At 46.8% G+C, this 17,621-nt stretch overlaps 1 protein-coding gene across 3 annotated transcripts in view, besides 1 other annotated feature; it reads right to left on the bottom strand.

Moving 5' to 3' along the window:
* SLIT3 (slit guidance ligand 3) overlaps window positions 1-17,621 on the bottom strand; it is a 639,400-nt gene that overhangs the window by 117,621 nt on the left and 504,158 nt on the right. For all 3 annotated transcript variants that reach the window (NM_003062.4, NM_001271946.2, XM_017009779.1), the window contains exons 10-12: window positions 16,147-16,218; window positions 10,200-10,271; window positions 6,547-6,618 (exon numbers count right to left, since the gene is read on the bottom strand). In NM_003062.4, the coding sequence (NP_003053.2) occupies window positions 6,547-6,618; window positions 10,200-10,271; window positions 16,147-16,218 (216 nt within the window). The remainder of the gene's footprint in view (window positions 1-6,546; window positions 6,619-10,199; window positions 10,272-16,146; window positions 16,219-17,621) is intronic.
* Window positions 6,202-7,401: an enhancer, noted in NCBI's record as "P300/CBP strongly-dependent group 1 enhancer chr5:168212567-168213766 (GRCh37/hg19 assembly coordinates)". NCBI's record gives its function as "activates an origin of replication core promoter dependent on BRD2, BRD4, P300/CBP, MED14 and CDK7 cofactors, with strong dependence on P300/CBP, by STARR-seq in HCT116 cells {active_cell/tissue: HCT116}" and the evidence as "EXISTENCE:reporter gene assay evidence [ECO:0000049][PMID:35650434]".

Genomic DNA, 17,621 nt, shown 5'->3' on the forward strand with positions numbered 1-17,621 from the left:
TTTTACAATAAGGCAGAACAACAACAAAAAGAGCCATGCTCCCATCAGAGGAAATTAAGGAGAGTGGCACATTGGAGAGTGGGAGGGCATGTACAGCACCTTCTAAATTTATTTCCAAGTGTGAGCTCTAGGAGGCCCTCTGCCACCCCCTTCCTTGGAGCACTTTTGGCTGCCACATATGTTCCATGTCAAGAGGTATTAGCACTCAGCCCATTGACTACCCAGCATAGCTGTGCTGCTGAGAGCTCTTGCTTTCTGGGAGCTGTGGCCTTCAGGAAAACCAAAGCAGAAAACAGAAGCCACTGGGAGTCAAAAAAGCTAGAGCTGGAGGAGGGAAATGAAATGCCTGTGTCGGGATGAGGGAGAACCCTCGTGACTCAAGTCTTTCTGCTAGGGGACCGGGGCTGGCCTGTGCAGAAAAGTCCCAGGTGTTCTTATCACTAGTAGCAGCTTCCAGCTTCTTTCATTTGGGGTCCAGGTAACATGGGGAGATGGCCCACAGGGGGAAAACCAGGTCCATTATGATCCACTAAAAGGACCCACTACACCCAGGCTTTTGAAAAGCCCCATGGGGAGAAGATCGCTGAGCCCCACTGTTAGCTACTGCCTTTGCTCTGATCCGCTCTTCAATGAAGGTTGCCCTTGGAGCCCACAGGCCTTTTTTGCAAAGTTTGGAAAACACAGACATCTGGAGTCAGGCTTAATGATCAATTGCATCAAAAATCACTTTGGCAACTCCAGCAATTCACATGTTGACTCAGTGGCCCAGTGCAATCATTCTGGTGGCGTCCACACTTGACCAAGGGTCTGTGGAGGACATGGGTTATGTTGCCCCTCCCACTTCTATGGTATTTGTCTGGAAATGCTGAAAGCATATTCCAAACTCCAGAGAGCAAGGCCTCCTCAGAAAACTGGTGCCAAGAAAGAATGCAGTGGCCCTTCCAGGAGAATGGATGAAGCTCTTCCAGAAAAGACTGTGGGATAGGAAGATGGGCCCAGGCTCCTGCCAAGAAAGATACTCTGTGGGCCTTCTTTTCCTAAAACAGGGATGGGGAGTCTGTTTCTGTTTCATGAACACTCAGATGCAGATATACAACAGGAGAAAGATGGCGCCAATAGGCGTCTGGCATAACCCTTTCTCTAGCTCCTTTAGTAGGAGAATTTACAAAAAGTGGGTTATGAAGGCTCTTTGTTATTTAAAAAAGTGCTCTGTGTGTCCCTGGAAGTAGTTATCACCTCTACACATTGGCACGAACGCTTAGTGAAGACACCAACTAGGGGAGCTATTCTGTACCCCTAATTAAGCTACAGGATATAGAGCCAAACCTTCCGCATTAATATGCCTTCCTTCTTTTTATTTCTCTAGTATTAACCCTCTGTCATCCTGAATTTCTTTATCCATTAATTGTAATAGGGACCACTCTCCCACCTTAGAACATTATGTTATCATCCTTTCCCTATAAAATATGGGGATTAATTTAGACCTTCAGCAACCTACTGAGGCTGGATGTGGGGAAGAACCCAATGACAGCTGATGCCATGAATTCTGACCCTGCCCAGAATCTTCTCTGTGCTTGAAAATGGGTGCTGTAGGCCACGTCTTGCTAAACACTCAAGGGGAAACAGGAGGAGCCCTCCAAGTCCCAACTAGGGGCAACAGTGGCTCTTCCCTTCTCTCCTGTTGGTGACTGCACTGCTTGTCAATGGCTGTGGGTTGTCATGGTGATTCCCGATGCAAGAGTAACCAGGCATGCAGCAACACCATTGGGCGGCCTGTCTGAAAAACAAGACCTCTTTCTACCCCAGAGACATAGGAGGGTGCTAGGAATGGGCTGTAAGCCACTGGGTTTTCCTAAGGGAAACAGATGAAAGCTGAGATTCCTAGAGACCAGAGAGGGAGAACTATTATTTGGTTACCAGATCAAGTGACCTCACCTGTGGTGGCTTGCCCATTCCTTCCCTCAGGACTATTAGGGTGGTAACTTTCCTATCTGATTGCCACATGGTTACCAATCAGTCCTTTAAGTGGGGTGAACCATTCATTCAATGACTAGCATGGAATGATTCCAGAATTTAAGTCTACCCAATGGCTTTCCAGGTACACAAGAGAGGGAAGAACCCTTCCCTCAAGAACGCATCGCCAAGTCAGTCTGCTTCTTCTGCTGGAGACAATTCTCATTGTCCCACCTCGATTGGGTCTCTAAACACAAGCAGCTCCTTGACTATCCTCTCATAGAGCAAACATTAGTGGGCTGAAGACAATGAACCAGAGAAAGTTCCATGGACACAGAGCCGTGAATTATGCTGAGCCATAACAAAAGGAGTTGATCTGCAGTTCAACAGCACCCTCTCTGTGGCTTGATCCATTGAGAATTTCTTGCTCTGCAGATCAAAAAACCGGCTCTGCAGATCTGCCTGTGACTGGGTGAAGCAGATGTCTCTGGATGGATGTGCTGTGGTTAAGGGCATGGACTACCCAGGTTCCAATCCTGGCTCCATCATGCTAAGTGACAATGGTCAAGTCACTTAACCCTCAGTTTCCCCCTCTGTAAAATGGGCCTTTCCACAACACCTTCCTCTTAGCGTTGTGGTAGATTAAATGAGATGATGCACATGAAATTGCTTAGCAGTTTCGGGTCCTGAAGAATATTAAGTATTCAATAAATGTTAGCTGCTATTATTAGCAGTAGTAAGTAGTTCTTGTGAAACAGCTGGTGGGGAAAAGTGAACTATAGGGAGTGAAGTTTTGCTCACTGCTCTGTAATTGGCATGTTGCTTGGCAAACTCCGAGAGCCTCAAATGGTCTTGTCTGCCTTCCAAGAAAATTAAACAACAGGTGCTAGAGTTGTCTTAACTTATTCCAGCCCGAAGACAGTCTGGTTTGGTTTAAGACCACCTGGAGCGGGTTTAAAAGCTTCCACCTCAAATGACTGCCCTCCCGACTTAAGTGGCTTTCCTATGCATGTCATGTGATCGATGAGCACTAAATGAATGCTCCTGACTCCCTGGAGGGGAGGTGTAACAACGCAGCTTGCAGCTGTCCATCAGCGGAGGAAATGACAGCCTTTTCCTGCTTTGGGAGGAGGGACCTCTGAGCTACAAGGTGAGGGATCTCAGGGCACGAGGGCTGGCTGCCCATAGAGGATCACCATCTCCACAGATGTCCCAGGAGCCTATGAGCCTGGGTGGGCAGGGGAAGGTAGAGGAGCAAGACCATTCACCCTGAGCTTCCAGTGAGGAGGAAGACAGGTCATTTCTCTAATAATTGAGCTGCTCCCACCCCTGGAGTTGGGATCATGTGCCCAGTGATATGTCCTTTTCTCACCTTGGGTTCTGAGATGCCTCCATGTGGGATATTTCAATTCTAAACATACTTCCTAGTATCCAAATGGGCACCAACTCACTTCCTAGCAGCCAGTTTTAAGGAGGGAAGCTGACAGATTACCTTGCATCCCCCAAAGACAATAAGGGTTGCTAGTAATAAACAATAAATGCGTGTTTATACAATGAATGGCCGCAGGAACTGAACGTGTTTAGGATTAATTATAGGGAGACATACTAGCTATTTTCAAACATCTGAAGACAATGATAACAGACTTTTCTGAGTTTTCTAGAAACCATTACGATGTTTAGTATAAGAAAGAGCTTTCTAACCTTCCAACTAGGCAGTGAGGACTTATCAGAGGAACCATCAGCAAACGAGTGACAGAAGGATTTGTGAGAGCGTGCATGAGAGGGATTCTTGTCCTAGCCAGGTAGGAGGCTGTGCTTGGAGCCCTGATGTTCCTTTGAACGCTAAGATTTTGGAACTTAAACTGAAGGGGGTAACTTGTGAGGCTCCAGGGGACCAAGGACAGAATATCATGCTTAGGACAGCTGGGGCTTGTTCCTTGTGGATGCACTTGCCGCAGCCTCTAAAAAAACGGAGACATTCTCTCCAGAATGGCCAAGAATTTTGGGCATTTGCCCAAAGGAACACACCGAGAAAAGCTCCCAGGAGGCTGGCTGTGTACATACTGGACTGGGCAAGTTTGATAGGATGGCCAAAAAGTCCAGAGGAGTGGGGGAAGATGGGAGGCAGGCAGGAGAACCAACTACAATGTACCCACTTTATTACCGCCAGCATCACAGCAAGTGCTAGAAAGGAAATGTCCAGGGCCACTTCGTGTGGCAGAGGCAGTTCAGCTTTGCGAGTACCCATAATTTGAGAGATGGAATGAGAAGAAAAAATGCAATCCTCTCACAAAGAGACTCTGAGTCAAAGGAGAGAAAATAACTCAGACTACCAGAGTATTCTAATCAGAGCCTTCTTATCAGTGTCTCCAGTCTAACAGGGAGAAGTCCAATCTACAGCAGGCTGAACACTAAATTAGATCGAATCAGGGCCTGCTTTCCAACCACTCAATGGCAGGTCAAAACCCAATGACAGCTACTTGAGTCCCAGTTACTGGTTCTTTCTGGTAAGGCCTGCCTGAGTTGTGTCAACTCTTGGTCTCAAGAGAGGAGAGTTGCTTCCTCTTTACCCCAAGCTACTCGATTCCATCTGCTCAAAATGGTGACAGTAAACTGGAGTTGCCTTCGCGACCCATGCAAAGTCCTGTTGGTTCTATTAACCTCATGGCTGCTATTAGCTTGGAGCTGAGATACACATCTTTTTAAGTATACATGCACTGTGCTAGGCACTGTGATACACATTCTGTGTATCCTTAATGTGTGCAAAGCCATTTTCCTTCCTGCACACACACACACACAGATTATAAAAGGAAAATCACACCAGCTTGGTGGAACACAACACTGCCAAATCCACCTCAAGGTGGATACTATTGATACTCTTCTTTCAAGGGATTAATAGCTACAGTTAACTAGCCTTATGGTGGCAGTTATAATGCACAGTTTCTTTGCTACAAGCAAAGAATACCATCTGTGAAACACCCAGCTCCCTGCAGAGCCCTGGCCTGTCATTCTAACACATAGCCTTAAAAGCCCACCAAAGGCTGGGACCGTTGAACAGGAATTTGCCCACACAGACACACACAGAGTGGGGCAGACAGGAAGACAGAGATGGGGGAGATGCAGAGAAAGAGAGACTTTTCTCTCTCTTGCTTTCAGCTTCACTGAAACAAACCTGGTTGCTGGTATGATAGATCTGCTCCCTGGAAACTTGCTGGGCATCGCACGCCTACATAATTCACATTAGTGCGTGTTCTGGGAGAATCTGTCCAGAGCTGAGTCTTAAAGGACATGGGAAGGGTAGAGGAAAGATGTAAGAAAGGGCTGGAGGAAAAGTCTCACTTCCTCTTTCTTGAAGAGTTCCTGGGCATCAACCACATAAGATGTGTCCCTTGTTCCTCTCTCCTTCTTTGCTCTTGTGCCTGCCACCCCTTTAGAGCCCCAGCTTGAGTCCTGGCCCACAAACCCATGCTGTGGGTCCTCTGAACTTTACGTAGGAGGTGGGGAGGTGCCAGGCCTCTTCCTCACTGCCTGTGACTTGGAGGTGATTTTAAAAAGACACACACACACACACACACGCACACACACACCTGCACACCTCTGCAAACATACATCATGTGCTATTCAGAGGGCTGGGAGGTTTCTGAATGAAGGGCATGGCCATGTAGATTCTTTTCCAGTTTCCATACCTATTCTGCTGTGTGACTGGGGGAGAGTCATGTATCTCTCCGAGACTTGGTCTTCTCCACTGCTTAAAGGATACTCAAGATCAGTTCCTAACATCCAGAAGAACTGTAATGGTGACAGAGCAAATGTGCACATGCATGCACACACACACACACACACTCCCACACCCATAGTACATGTGTGTAGATGCTATAGCTGCCTTGTCACAAATCAGAGATGATTTTACCAGCACAAAAATTAAACTATACTATGAGCTAAATTCTTTTCCTTCCTTCTCCACATCAGAGTTCAATTATCTTCTTCAAACATTTAAGCTCAAATGACCAGAATGAAATAAATGCAAACAAATAATCCCTGAGCTTAAAATTCGAAGCAACAACCCTTCCTTTAAATTAAGTAAACACTCCTCTCCACCCTGTCTTTCCCAGATGGATTCACACTGGTGACTGATTATGCTCCTCTCGAATTATTCCCTCTGCCCCGACCCCTCTTCAAGGTCACATGTCCATCAGCAGCTGTGTCTCAGCTTTAGTACTGGAATTTGGTGTGTGGATGTTTTAGTTCCTTACATTCTTAGCACACTACTGAAAAATGTTTTTCTTTTTGTTGGATTTGACTCTTTCCTAATCTCTATCCCCAGACCCTGTGCTTAGTATCTTCATGCCTGGGCCAGGGCCCTCGGCTGTATCATTTGGGTTTATGCACACTGACCTCGGTCTTCCTCTGCCCGCTCGCTGACTCTCCTTTCATAAAAATAGGAAACGGAGGTGAAGCGTGGACAGCTCAAACATTTTTTTCTCTTTTGTCTGCAGAAAGTCAAAAGAACTCTCCAGAGCATGGCTCAACGTTTTCAGGTGGGAGCCTTCCGACAGTACCAAAGACACCAACAGTGACAAAGTTCCTACTCACAGCAGCTGTAGGGACACCAGCCCATCAAACAGTCCCTTGACAATCTCGGTGATCTTGTTCCCATACAGGACCCTGAAAGAGAGAAGGAGAAGACAGCAATCACTGTGGATGTGAGGCCACCAGAACCCAGTCCTGCAGGAAGCCATCACCTCGGCCAGTTCTGGGTATGAGATCTCAGGACAACCCCTTCCACGGCCTGCCTAATCCCTTCTCATCAGCGAGACAGAGGCAGCCAAGAGCAGCCAGGGGCTGGAAGGGCAGGTTGTCTGGGAGGTGAGTAGAAATGGGCTCTATCCTGCTCCATTCCTGGGCAACCTAGCCCAATACATAATCCCCAACAGGAAGAAGCGGTCTCTTTGTGGTATCTCCCTAAGCTGCTAATATGACTCACACCCCAGCAATAAATACACTGTGTGGGAGACTGGCCCTGTGTCTTCAATGGGTATTGATCAGCTTGAGCCCAGCCTACAGGACGTTTCCTTTTAATATCCCTTTGCATCTTAGGAATTCCTAAGCTGAGTCATTTAATCATCCATCTAGACAGGGCTTTGTGCATCTGGGGTCATCTCCAGATGGTGCAGGGACTGCTGAGTCAAGGACTGGCTCTCGGGAAAAACCAGGGAGCTTTGCTGTCTCACAGTAATGGCAGCTTTTACTTTCTATCCGCTTTTCCTATTCTTTGAGTTCCAGGAACGCAGGAACTCAGAACCCTTTTACCCCTTTCTCTTACGGGCCTCCAGTGACCCTCATACTGGTGTCTCTGATTCATGGGCCTCATCTTTGGTGTCTTGGTGAGGCCTGGGGAGGAAGGCTACTGGGTCTCCCACTCCAGCACAGTGCTCAGGGGCGTCTTTATGCCTGGCCCTTGCTGGTGCTCTTCAAAGGCACTAGAGAAGCTCGGCTGGCCTCTCTCTGCTCCCAACCACAGCACGGGCTTTGCTGTCTCTTGGGTCCAGCCTCCTCTGTGACCCAGGGAACTGATCGTAGGAGAGTTTGGTTGTTTTTCTTAAGTCCTCTCCAGAGCCCTGAAGTGCACTGAATGCATGCAATATTCAATTTTCACTCGGATCGCAATCCAGGCTGTAATCCTTCTTTGAGGAGACAAAATATTAGGATGCGGAAATGGTAAATGGGCATGATAAACCAAACCCCCCTTTTCCAGACGCCACTGGGAGTGAAGAGTGAATGTCTCCATCAGCCTACGGGTGTGTTTCATTAATGTTTCAACAAATTAATGACTAAATAAAAGTCAGCATGATAGCTCAGGCACACATTTGTAATTCATATTAATGCCCCACCGCTCACTGTGCCAAATGCAGTAATGTCACTGTCTGCCCGTGTCAGCTGATGTCAGGACTTCTAGTGTAGCAGAAGCCACGGGGCTTGGGGCAAGAGGGGTCCTCACACCACCCGCCATGCCTTGGGATAGCAGGCTTCTGAGCCCAGTGCGTCAAAACCACTCCCTGGCAGGTGGAGGCGGGCTGAGGCTCTCCTGCCTGTGTGGTCTCCTCAGGCATCTGGGTGTACCCCTGTCTGGCTTCCCACCCCAGGTCTTGGCTTGACTACCTTCTTCTTGCCTTTCAGGTCTGAGCTCAAACATCTCTTCCTTGGGAGGTGTCTCTTTAATATTTTAGTTAATGTTTTATATCACCTGTTACCCTATTTTAGTTTCTTCATATCGCTTATCTTTATGTCACATTATGTTGCTTAAATATGTATTTAATTTTAATTTTTTCTGCCTCCCTCCCCCGCACCTCCCAGCTCCCTTGCATGTAGGCCCCATGAGTGTAGTAACGTTACATGGCTGTTCATGACTGGGTCTCTAGACCCCAAAATAGAAGAGTCTAGCACGATAAATATTTGTTGAATGAATGAATGCACGCACAGGTAAGGGGTAAAGGCTCTCCAGCCCTTTACCTTGGCTTCTCCTGAGCTGGGATTGTGTGTGCTTGTGTTCAACTGTAAGCTCTGTCAGGCCAAGGATCCTGTGTGTACAGTTCACTGCCACACTCGCAGTGCCTATAATACTGCCAGTACACAGTAGGCATCTACTGCATGAATGAATGAATAAATCGGGAGTGAGAGGTGCTTCACTTAAACAATGCTCACATATATTTCAGAATCGGGCAGCAGCATGCCAATTTCATGTTTGGCAACTAGATTTTGAATTCCTTTTCCTACGAGACAGGAAGCACCTCACTGCCCTCAGACTGTCTCCAAATCCTGGCTGAGGGAAACCAGACAAGGGAAGAGAGAGGGTGGGGGCAGAGAAAGGTTCCTGGTGGCAGACGGCTCCTCTCCCTTCTCCTCTGTGATCTTCAGCACAAGCAGACACTAATCTCACACATGGTCCCATCTTTGATATCCCAGCCAGATGTTCTATTCGATAAATGAAACTAATTTACTCTGCAAGCAGCAGGCAACAGCTGAATCTGAGACTTCCCAGTCCTCATCCCCTTCCCGGTGGGATGGGGCCAGGTGGGGGGAATATGTGCATCTGGTTACCTGCCCACTCAAATTAGGTAAACAGGTTGCATAGCTGCACGGAGAGGCAAAATATAGACAGACTGATCAAGAGTGTGGGTTCTGGAGCCAGACAGCATGGGTTCAAATCTTGCCTTTTCTACCTGTTACTGTGGACTTTGGATAAGTTACATTTTAGAGTAAGTAAATGGTTGAACAAAACAAGATTTTTTTTTGACATACTAACTCTGTGCCAAACACAGTTTGTGGTACTAGGGATACATCCGTGAACAAAACAGATAATAATCCCTGTCTCGGTGGAGCTTAGATTGTCTGAGTTCTTCAGCTGTAAAAATGAGATGACAATATATTTTATATTTTAGGTTGTGGTGAGGACTAAACTTGACAGACTCCTAGAACAGTACCTGGTACCCAGTCAATGCTCAGTAAACACTACTAATTACTGTTTTACTGTACACGTGATCATCATTGGATGTGTTAGGAGGGAATGGGATCACTGTCCCCATCCTGCCTACTAAGAAGCATCCATAAAAGGCTCAAGTGACTTCCCTATGCCACACATGAGTGACTGACAGAATGAGGACATTCTATACCTTCCTGCCGGCAGGGGTCTTGGAACCCCTGGTGGGTGAAGCTTTGGTTCCAACCAGTGGGCTGCCTATGGGTTTCAAAATCAAAGACAGGAAGGGCTATAGGATGGGGTGGATGTTTTCTTAGGACAATGGCCATGAGGGTGGTCTGGAGAGAAAGCCTGAAAATCAGCAGAAGAAAACGAGCTCTTCCCTTGGCAAGGCCAAGCGGTAATAAACACGCATCACCATCTCTCCTTACACCAGAAAGATAGCGCTGCGGTGGCATGTGGGGTGGGAGGGGGACGTGGGGTGGGAGGGGGACGTGAGGTTGGAGTAGAAGATGCATTCGAATTAGAAGCCAATAACTGGGAAAGCTGCCAGGCGCTTAATCAATAAAAATAATGCATTTGGGTTGTAGAAATATTCCCCAAGATCAATTTCCCCTGAAGAAATATTTGTTTCTTTTACCAGGTTGCCACAAGTGTGTAAGGGAACATAAAGTCTTGATAAACACCTCCTGAGAAATATGGTTGCGTCTCTCTTCCCTCCAGCGCCCCCCCTCCCCTCACCTCAGGCCCCAACTCGGGCCCCACTTACAGCGATGTGAGTGATTTCAGGCCCTGGAAGGCATCTGGAGCAATATCCGATATCTGATTCTTGCTGATGTCTCTGAAAACGTTAACGGTAAAGTCTGAGAACATGGCTCAAAGGTGCGATAACGGTCACTCCTAAGTGTGAATCAAGCATTTCAGACATTCAAAATGGTAAGGATTAATCAATCAATCAAGCAATTCATTTACTCATAGTGCAAGAGAAGGAGCTTAAAGAGCCTTCAGTTCAACTACCTCATGATAAAGTGCACCACATTTACATCACTCTTCTTGGTTTTCAAAGAATACTCACCCGTGGCATCTTCATCGGGACACGAGGCTGTGAACACGTGAACCATCACTTTGTAGGTGGAAAATTGAGCCCAGTCAAATTAGGGCCTTACGTTTCATTACCAAGCAATTAACGACACAGATGAAACAGGAACCGGCTTCACCCAACCAACCACAAGCCAGGGTTCCTGTAGGCATCATCTTCTTGCCTCATGCCTCAGCAGCTGCTCATTTTTCTCCCAGAAAGTCCAGAGTCATTTCACCTCCCCAGTGACTTTTCCTCCCTGACCTGAAAGGAGCTTTTGAGCAGTGACTTAAGTCTCTGTCTGGTCTGGTGCAAACTCTAGGCTGTGTGATGTAAGCACATCCTGGGATTCTCAGGGGACGCCTTGGAGATGTGGGCTTGTCACTGGCTGGCAGTGTGTTCCTCATCTGGGAGCAAGTCCAGGGCATAAGAATGTCCCAGGCTTTGGATAATGAGAGCAAGAGGGATGCTGTGGGCCAGGAGGATTCTATTAATGCTGGGCCCGGGGTCTGGGGCAGCTAACCAGGCTTTGCAGGTGCAAAGGAATCTCCTCGACCCTGGCTCCTTCCCAGAGGCCCTGAGGCTGCTCAATTACGGGCATCCCAGTGACTTCTGAGAACCTGGACACCAGCTCTTGCTAATGGCCCTTCACTGAGGGGAAATTCTTTCTCTTAGAGTCATTAGCTCAGGGATGGCCTCTGGGATCCTGTCACTGGAAGGAGAGATGCTCCAATTTCCTGCGACATCAAACCTCTCCAGTTCCTTTTCTTTAACAAAATAAATAAATGGGTCTTTGCTTTTGTGCAGAAGTGGGAGAGCTGGGATCTTGGAAGGTCAACAAGGAGGTGAAGAGAGAATGTGGAGAAAAAAAAGCACAACAGAGCAGATTCTTAAGCAATTGACTCCAGCGAAGCCAGACACTCCAGCCTCTTAAGCACATGCAGTGGGAATCTCTCTGAGCCTGTTTCCTTCCTTCTTCTAATAGATTTCAAAAGAACCATGCCACAACCTTTGCTGAGGCCTCTACTTCCTCCCCTCCCTGCCTCCAAAGCCTGTACTTTGAACGATATTTCACAGGTTAAGGCTCTTCGGCACAGCTGTCTAGTTTATCCCTTTAGCTGGCGAAATCACCTCCGACAAATCCGCAGATTGCACTCACAAACTCGTCAGCTTACACCGGGCTTTTCTTCCGCGCTCCGGTTTTGTTTAAGGGTCTTAACAAGCAAATACTCTGGATTATCCTAATCTCACTTGCCCTCAGCATGGCTGCCTATGCAAAGCATTCCAGACAAACACGAAGGATCTGTTTAGACTGGACTAGCGGGAAGGCCTGTGTTGTCTTTTTTTCCCCTGATTATGAATTGTCCCTTCAAGGTGCTGAGACCTCTAGTTGCAAGAGGAAGCTATGTGGCCAGCACGGAAACCCTCTGCTTTAGCTCTGGGAGGGCAAACTGGTTTTCAGTCCACAACTAGACTTCTGGACCCATCTCTCCCTACAGTATGAGGTGAGATGCCCCACGGTTTGGAGGTGCTGGAGAGTGGGAATTGGAGAAGTGATAGACAGTTTAGCTGGGAATTGACCTTGGTCACTTTGTCTTTTTCTTTATTATTATAAAAACTGCATATTTAGGCTGGTTCAAAGGTAGTGAGTTCTCTCAATGGATTGTTCACAGTCAGTTACAGATCAAACTCCTTGTTCTACTCTTTCCTCCTTTTTCACTACTGTACTCAACTAGTCTTTTAAAAATGTATACATATTTGGTGTGCAACACAATGTTTTGATATATGCTTTCATTGTGGAATAGCTAAGTCAAGCTACTTAACCTATGCATTACCTCACATGCTTATCATTTATTTGTGGTAAGAACACTTAAAATCTACTCTCTGAGCTATTTTCAAGTATACGATACATTGTTGTTAACTACATTCACCGTGTTGTATAACACAATGGATCTCTTGAACTTACTTCTCCTGTCTACCTGAAATTTTGCACCCTTTGACGAACATCTGTGTCATCTTCATCTCTACCCCACCCTCACCCCACCGGCCTCTGAACATCACCATTCTACTTTCTGCTTCTAAGAGTTTGGCTTTGTTTAGATTCCATGTATAAGTGAGAACATTTGGCAAACTGCGTCTTAATTCTTAATTCTGCAAGAAGGAAACAGCAGCCCTGAGAGGTGAAGTACCTGGAGCCATAAGTGACTGGACACAGCCATTTGGGCACAGAGCAAGCATCTCAAGTCTCCTATCAGCTCAAGGCCCCCTCTGCTATTTTGTTGTGATGGAGGCACAATGCAGGGCATTGAGCTGGAAGGCAGATGGGAGATGGCTCCAGCTGCCCACTGACCTCCATGCATGACCCTGTCCCTAGCCACAGCAGCTGCTCCTAGAACTGATTCTGGGCACTGGGATGACTCTTGACCAGTGCTTCTCAAACCTCACGAGGGTGTAGATTAAAAATGCACTCCAGAGTGTCTGATTTGTAGGCTGGGGGTTGGGGCTACGAATCTGTATATGTAACACATCTCCAGGTGATTCCATGTAGGTGGTCCCTAGGTCATATACTTCAGGCCGCAATGTTTTAGAAAATGGTCTCAGACCCACGTTGGTCCTCTGGGGCTTATAAACTGGATGACCAAGAAGGGGTAGCTTTTCCAGACTGTTCAGAATAGAGGTGGCAAATTCAAGTGCCTACAAAGGTCATGCAGGGAATATAAGTGTGAGATATTAGGAAGTCCTGGAGCTTGTGGAATGAGTTGCTCTGCCTAAGAGCATGAAAGAGAAAAGAATTCCCAACACCCCATTCTGGCACAATAATAGATAGCCCAGGTGTCAGGCCTACCAGTCAGTTAACCAAATTTGCAAGACCGAGGGGCTGTCTCCAGTGCTTTCTACTGCTTCTCTGCTTTGATACAGGTTGAGTATCCCTAATCCAAAAATCCAAAATCTGAAATGCTCCAAAATCTGAAACTTTCTGAGCACTGACATGACGTCACAAGTGGAAAATTCCACACCTGACCTCATGTGACTGATGGATTGCAGTCAAAACTTCATATCATGCACAAAATTATTAAAAACTTTGTATAAATTACCTTCAGCCTATGTGTGTGAGGTATATATGAAACATAAATGAGTTTCATATTTAGACTTGGATTCCATTCTCAAGATATCTCATTATGTATGTGAAAATATTCCAAACTTTGAAAAATTCAGAACGCTGAAATGTTTTTGGCCCCAAGCATTTTGGATAAGGAATACTCAACCTTTTAGTTTGTACTTGGAATGTTTTTTATACGAAGGTAACCACTAGGAATAGGCAGAGACAAAGCCATTCATTCAGAGAGAATTCTTTTTTTTCTCTCCCCCCTCCCCTTTTTTCTTTTCTTTTTTGGTAAGAGACAAGAGCAGGATGTGGTTCAGTCACAGTTGAGGGGGAAACTTCCTCCTGTTAGATATTAGGGATAAACTGGTCACGTATATTTAGGAAAAATTAGGGTTTTGAAATCCATTCTCACCAGGGACCCTACCTCTCCCAAACCATTGATTGCACTTCAGTCTAGGTTTCTGAAGTTCCATTAGTCGAACATTTTTAAGTGTGCTCTCTTCTCTATTGCCATCCTCTTGGGGGAAAAAAAGGGCATCATAATAAATATCAGTAGCATCATAAGTGATCAAAAATTAAATTCACTTTCCAGGTCGTGACTGAGAAGGTCTTATGAATTTTGAATGCACAGATCATGGCAAGTCCAATAGGTTGGAGAAGGAACAGTAAAACATAGTCAAGCTTTAAATTACCTGGACTTCACAAAAAATTAGAGCAATAACTTAAATCATGTAGGAGATATAGGTTGGGGCAGTGACTGAACTTGTCATTTTTCACTGAAATTACTATCTGGCTGCATAATCAAGCTGAGCTTTAAAAATGAATTGGGGGGGGGGATGCATGGAGAGCGGGCTGGGGAAGCAGGGACACCAGGAGATTAATGGCCCGAGGTTTTAAATATTAAGGCCTATATTTATACAGCTCCTCCAGCAGGAATGCTGCCAAGAGGAGGGAAGAAGTACGTGCTTCGAGCTGCCTCATTATGTTGGTTTCCACTTCTGGAATTGCACCAGAAGAAAAGCTTGTTTGGTTTGGATTTCCAGGGAGATGGGAAGTTGGCTTCCCAAGATCTGAGGGTAAAGCCTACCAATGCCACTGTTTCGCAGGGATATTTATTTTTAACATAAAAGGAATCAGCAGACACTTAACCTCTTTACTGTGGGCCCTCCCACTCGAGGGAAAGCAATGAATCAGCCTCGTGTGGAAGGAAGAAGCAGGACCGAGTCCATGCATATTTCTACCTGACTCTCTCTTTCCTCTGTGGGAGGGTGAGGTGTGGGGGGATGTGAAAAGAGTAAGTGGAATGAAAACAGCAACTCGGTTACTGGGCTCTACTAAATGATTTCTTAGCCTCAAAAAGGGAAGGAGTATCTGTGCAGAACTGATGGCAATGGTTGGGCTGTTTCTGAATCCTACTGTCCTCCCTGCAGAGCCCCCAGCTCTGAGTGACTCACAGAGCAGTGCTCAAGGTCGTCATGGGATGGGGAAGAATGATGACATTGTCACATGGTGGGGATGAGGGCGGTGATGCAATGGTGCCGTCCAGGCTGCTGTGGTGAGGGAGGAACAGCAGGGTTGGTATCACCCGGCACTGATGTAATGCAGTGGTGGAGTGGTGTGACTTACAGAGCTAATGGGGATGTAGGGGGTGCTCACATGTTGACCATACCCTCCGAGGCTTCTCATTTCATGCAGGAAGAACAGAAAGTCTGTACCACGGTAAAGGATGCATGTGATCTAGTACCAACTTTTCCAACACAAGCCCCATCCTCTCCCCTCACTTGTTCCACTCTTTGCTATTCCACAAACCATCGACACATGCTCCCTAAGGCCTTTCACTTGCTTTTCCTGCTGCCTGGGACAGTCTTTCCTGAGAGCTCAGGGCTCCCTTCCTTCCTTTCTTTAGGCCACCTGCACATAGAGACCTTCATAGGCACACCTACCTAAAAGACACCCTCCCACCATCACTGATACTCTGATTTCTGATATTTGTTTCTTTATTTTCTGCGTTCTCCCACTCGAATGCAAGCTCCGTGAGAGCAGACTTGGTTTCTGTTCACTGCTCTATCCATAGATCCTTGCTTGCAGCAGACATTCACTTGGTATTTGTTATATGAATGTATGCCTGGTTGGAGGGATGTTGGTGACAGTGGTGTAGACAGCTGCGGGGCCACCATCACATCTCTGCTGAAACTCCTATTTTAGGTCCACATCACTGGAGCCAAGGGACAGTATAAATGGTGAAATGGATTTTCCAGGCTAATTCGTCTCTACCTCCCACACAGATAGTTTTACTTTGCTTTAGTTGGAGAGGCTCTTAGCGCTACATGTCCAAGCCCACACACCTCACAATCTTCAGGCAACACTTCCACATCTTACCTCCCAAGCTTAGGACAGCGTTCCAGGTCTGAAACAGAACTGCCCAGGAGGAATGGACATGGTCCGTCACCTGGACAGGTTGCCCACTACACATTGCAAACAACCCTGGAAATTGAAAACATTTGGGCCCATTTCTCCACAGGGGAAACTCACATTCGCTTCAGTTTCTTGTACTGGGTGAAGGCTCCTGCAGGGATGGCTTTGATGGAGTTCTGTTCTAGGCGTCTGGGAAACAGAGCAGAGAAGAGTGAATTAACCATCCACCTGTCAACAAGTGGTCACTGAGGGCTACTGTGTTCTCTGGCCTTAAGGACAGGGAGGTCTTTTTTGTCACAGGTGCACGGTCTGGTTGTGGCAGACCAGACAAAACACTGCAGCAGTCAGAGAACTCAGGTCCTAGTACATGGAGCACCTGTCCAAGGGTCTAACTCTCCTTGGAGAAAGAGGGAAAGGATGATCTTTCCTTGAAGATTTTTGATTCTTGATTATTATAAACTGCTTTTGGCAGCAGCTGTCTTCTTCAGAGAAAGCTGTAGAAGTAACCAAGCAGAATGCGGAATAAGTCAAAGGGATAAAGAGAAGGAAGAGTAAAAAGAGATGGACCATGGGCCAGCAATGCTTATCTGTCATGGAACCATGTCACTACTCAGTTAAACAGTCAGCCACACTGCTAATGGGGCAGAAATGTCAATGGTTGACTTCATTTCTGAGCTTTTCCATGGGCTGTTTTAATACAGTGCAGGAACAGCCTTAACGTCTTTAGGCTCCCAGCCTGACATTCATCAAACTGGCTCCCTGACATCCTGCAAGGCCCAGGGGCCCAGACTGGACCACTCCCCGGGTCTGCTGCTGGAATCTGTGCCTTTAACCTCTTATGGAGTTTCCTGAAATGCTTCCTCTCCTATTACTTTGAAAGCAACAAGAGACGCTGCAGGCCCAGGGCCCAGAACTTCCTTGGAAGAGAAGGGGCCGTGGGGAATGAGTGAGCATTTCCATTCTTTATTCTTTCATCTCTCAAATGACTTCCTGTCACCAAGAACAGGTGTGGTGGGAAACAGGCATGTGGGGGAGGTGGGGCGCTCTATTCGGGGTGATGAATGGCACCCTGGCCCAGGCTCAGGATCTCATCCTCATCCATCTCCCTTCTCTCCGAGGTGCAGGTCTTTTCATCACCCCTCATTTGGCCTTGATGCTCCCCAAACCCTCAGCTGGGAAGACACACAAAAAAGTGTGTGTGGCAGGGGACGTAGTGGGAGCAAAAGGGGTAGATGGGAGGAACGGGCTTCCTTGAAGCCTACAGCTAGTGGATGCACATTTCTGGCTGGGATGAACCCATTCATCTTGAAGAGTAATCCCCGCTGTAGAGTGGGGGAGACAGTCGTATTAATTTGTGCCTCTGTGATCTCATCTTCATTGGGGGAACAGAATATTTGTTACTGGAACTGCTAATGGAGCAGTTTGCCAGCAATTTTCCCATTTCAAACAACATCTCAGCTGCTAATGTGGAATGGTTTGTCAGGCCAACCCATAACACAGACAAATCACTCTCCAGGCAAAAGGAAGGGGGAAAGCAGGGAGAAAGGGGAAAGGCGGGTGAGAGGAGAGAGGGAGTATCAGGACATATCATT

This window comes from Homo sapiens, chromosome 5 (assembly GCF_000001405.40).
Source record: "Homo sapiens chromosome 5, GRCh38.p14 Primary Assembly".
Lineage (NCBI taxonomy): Eukaryota > Metazoa > Chordata > Mammalia > Primates > Hominidae > Homo > Homo sapiens.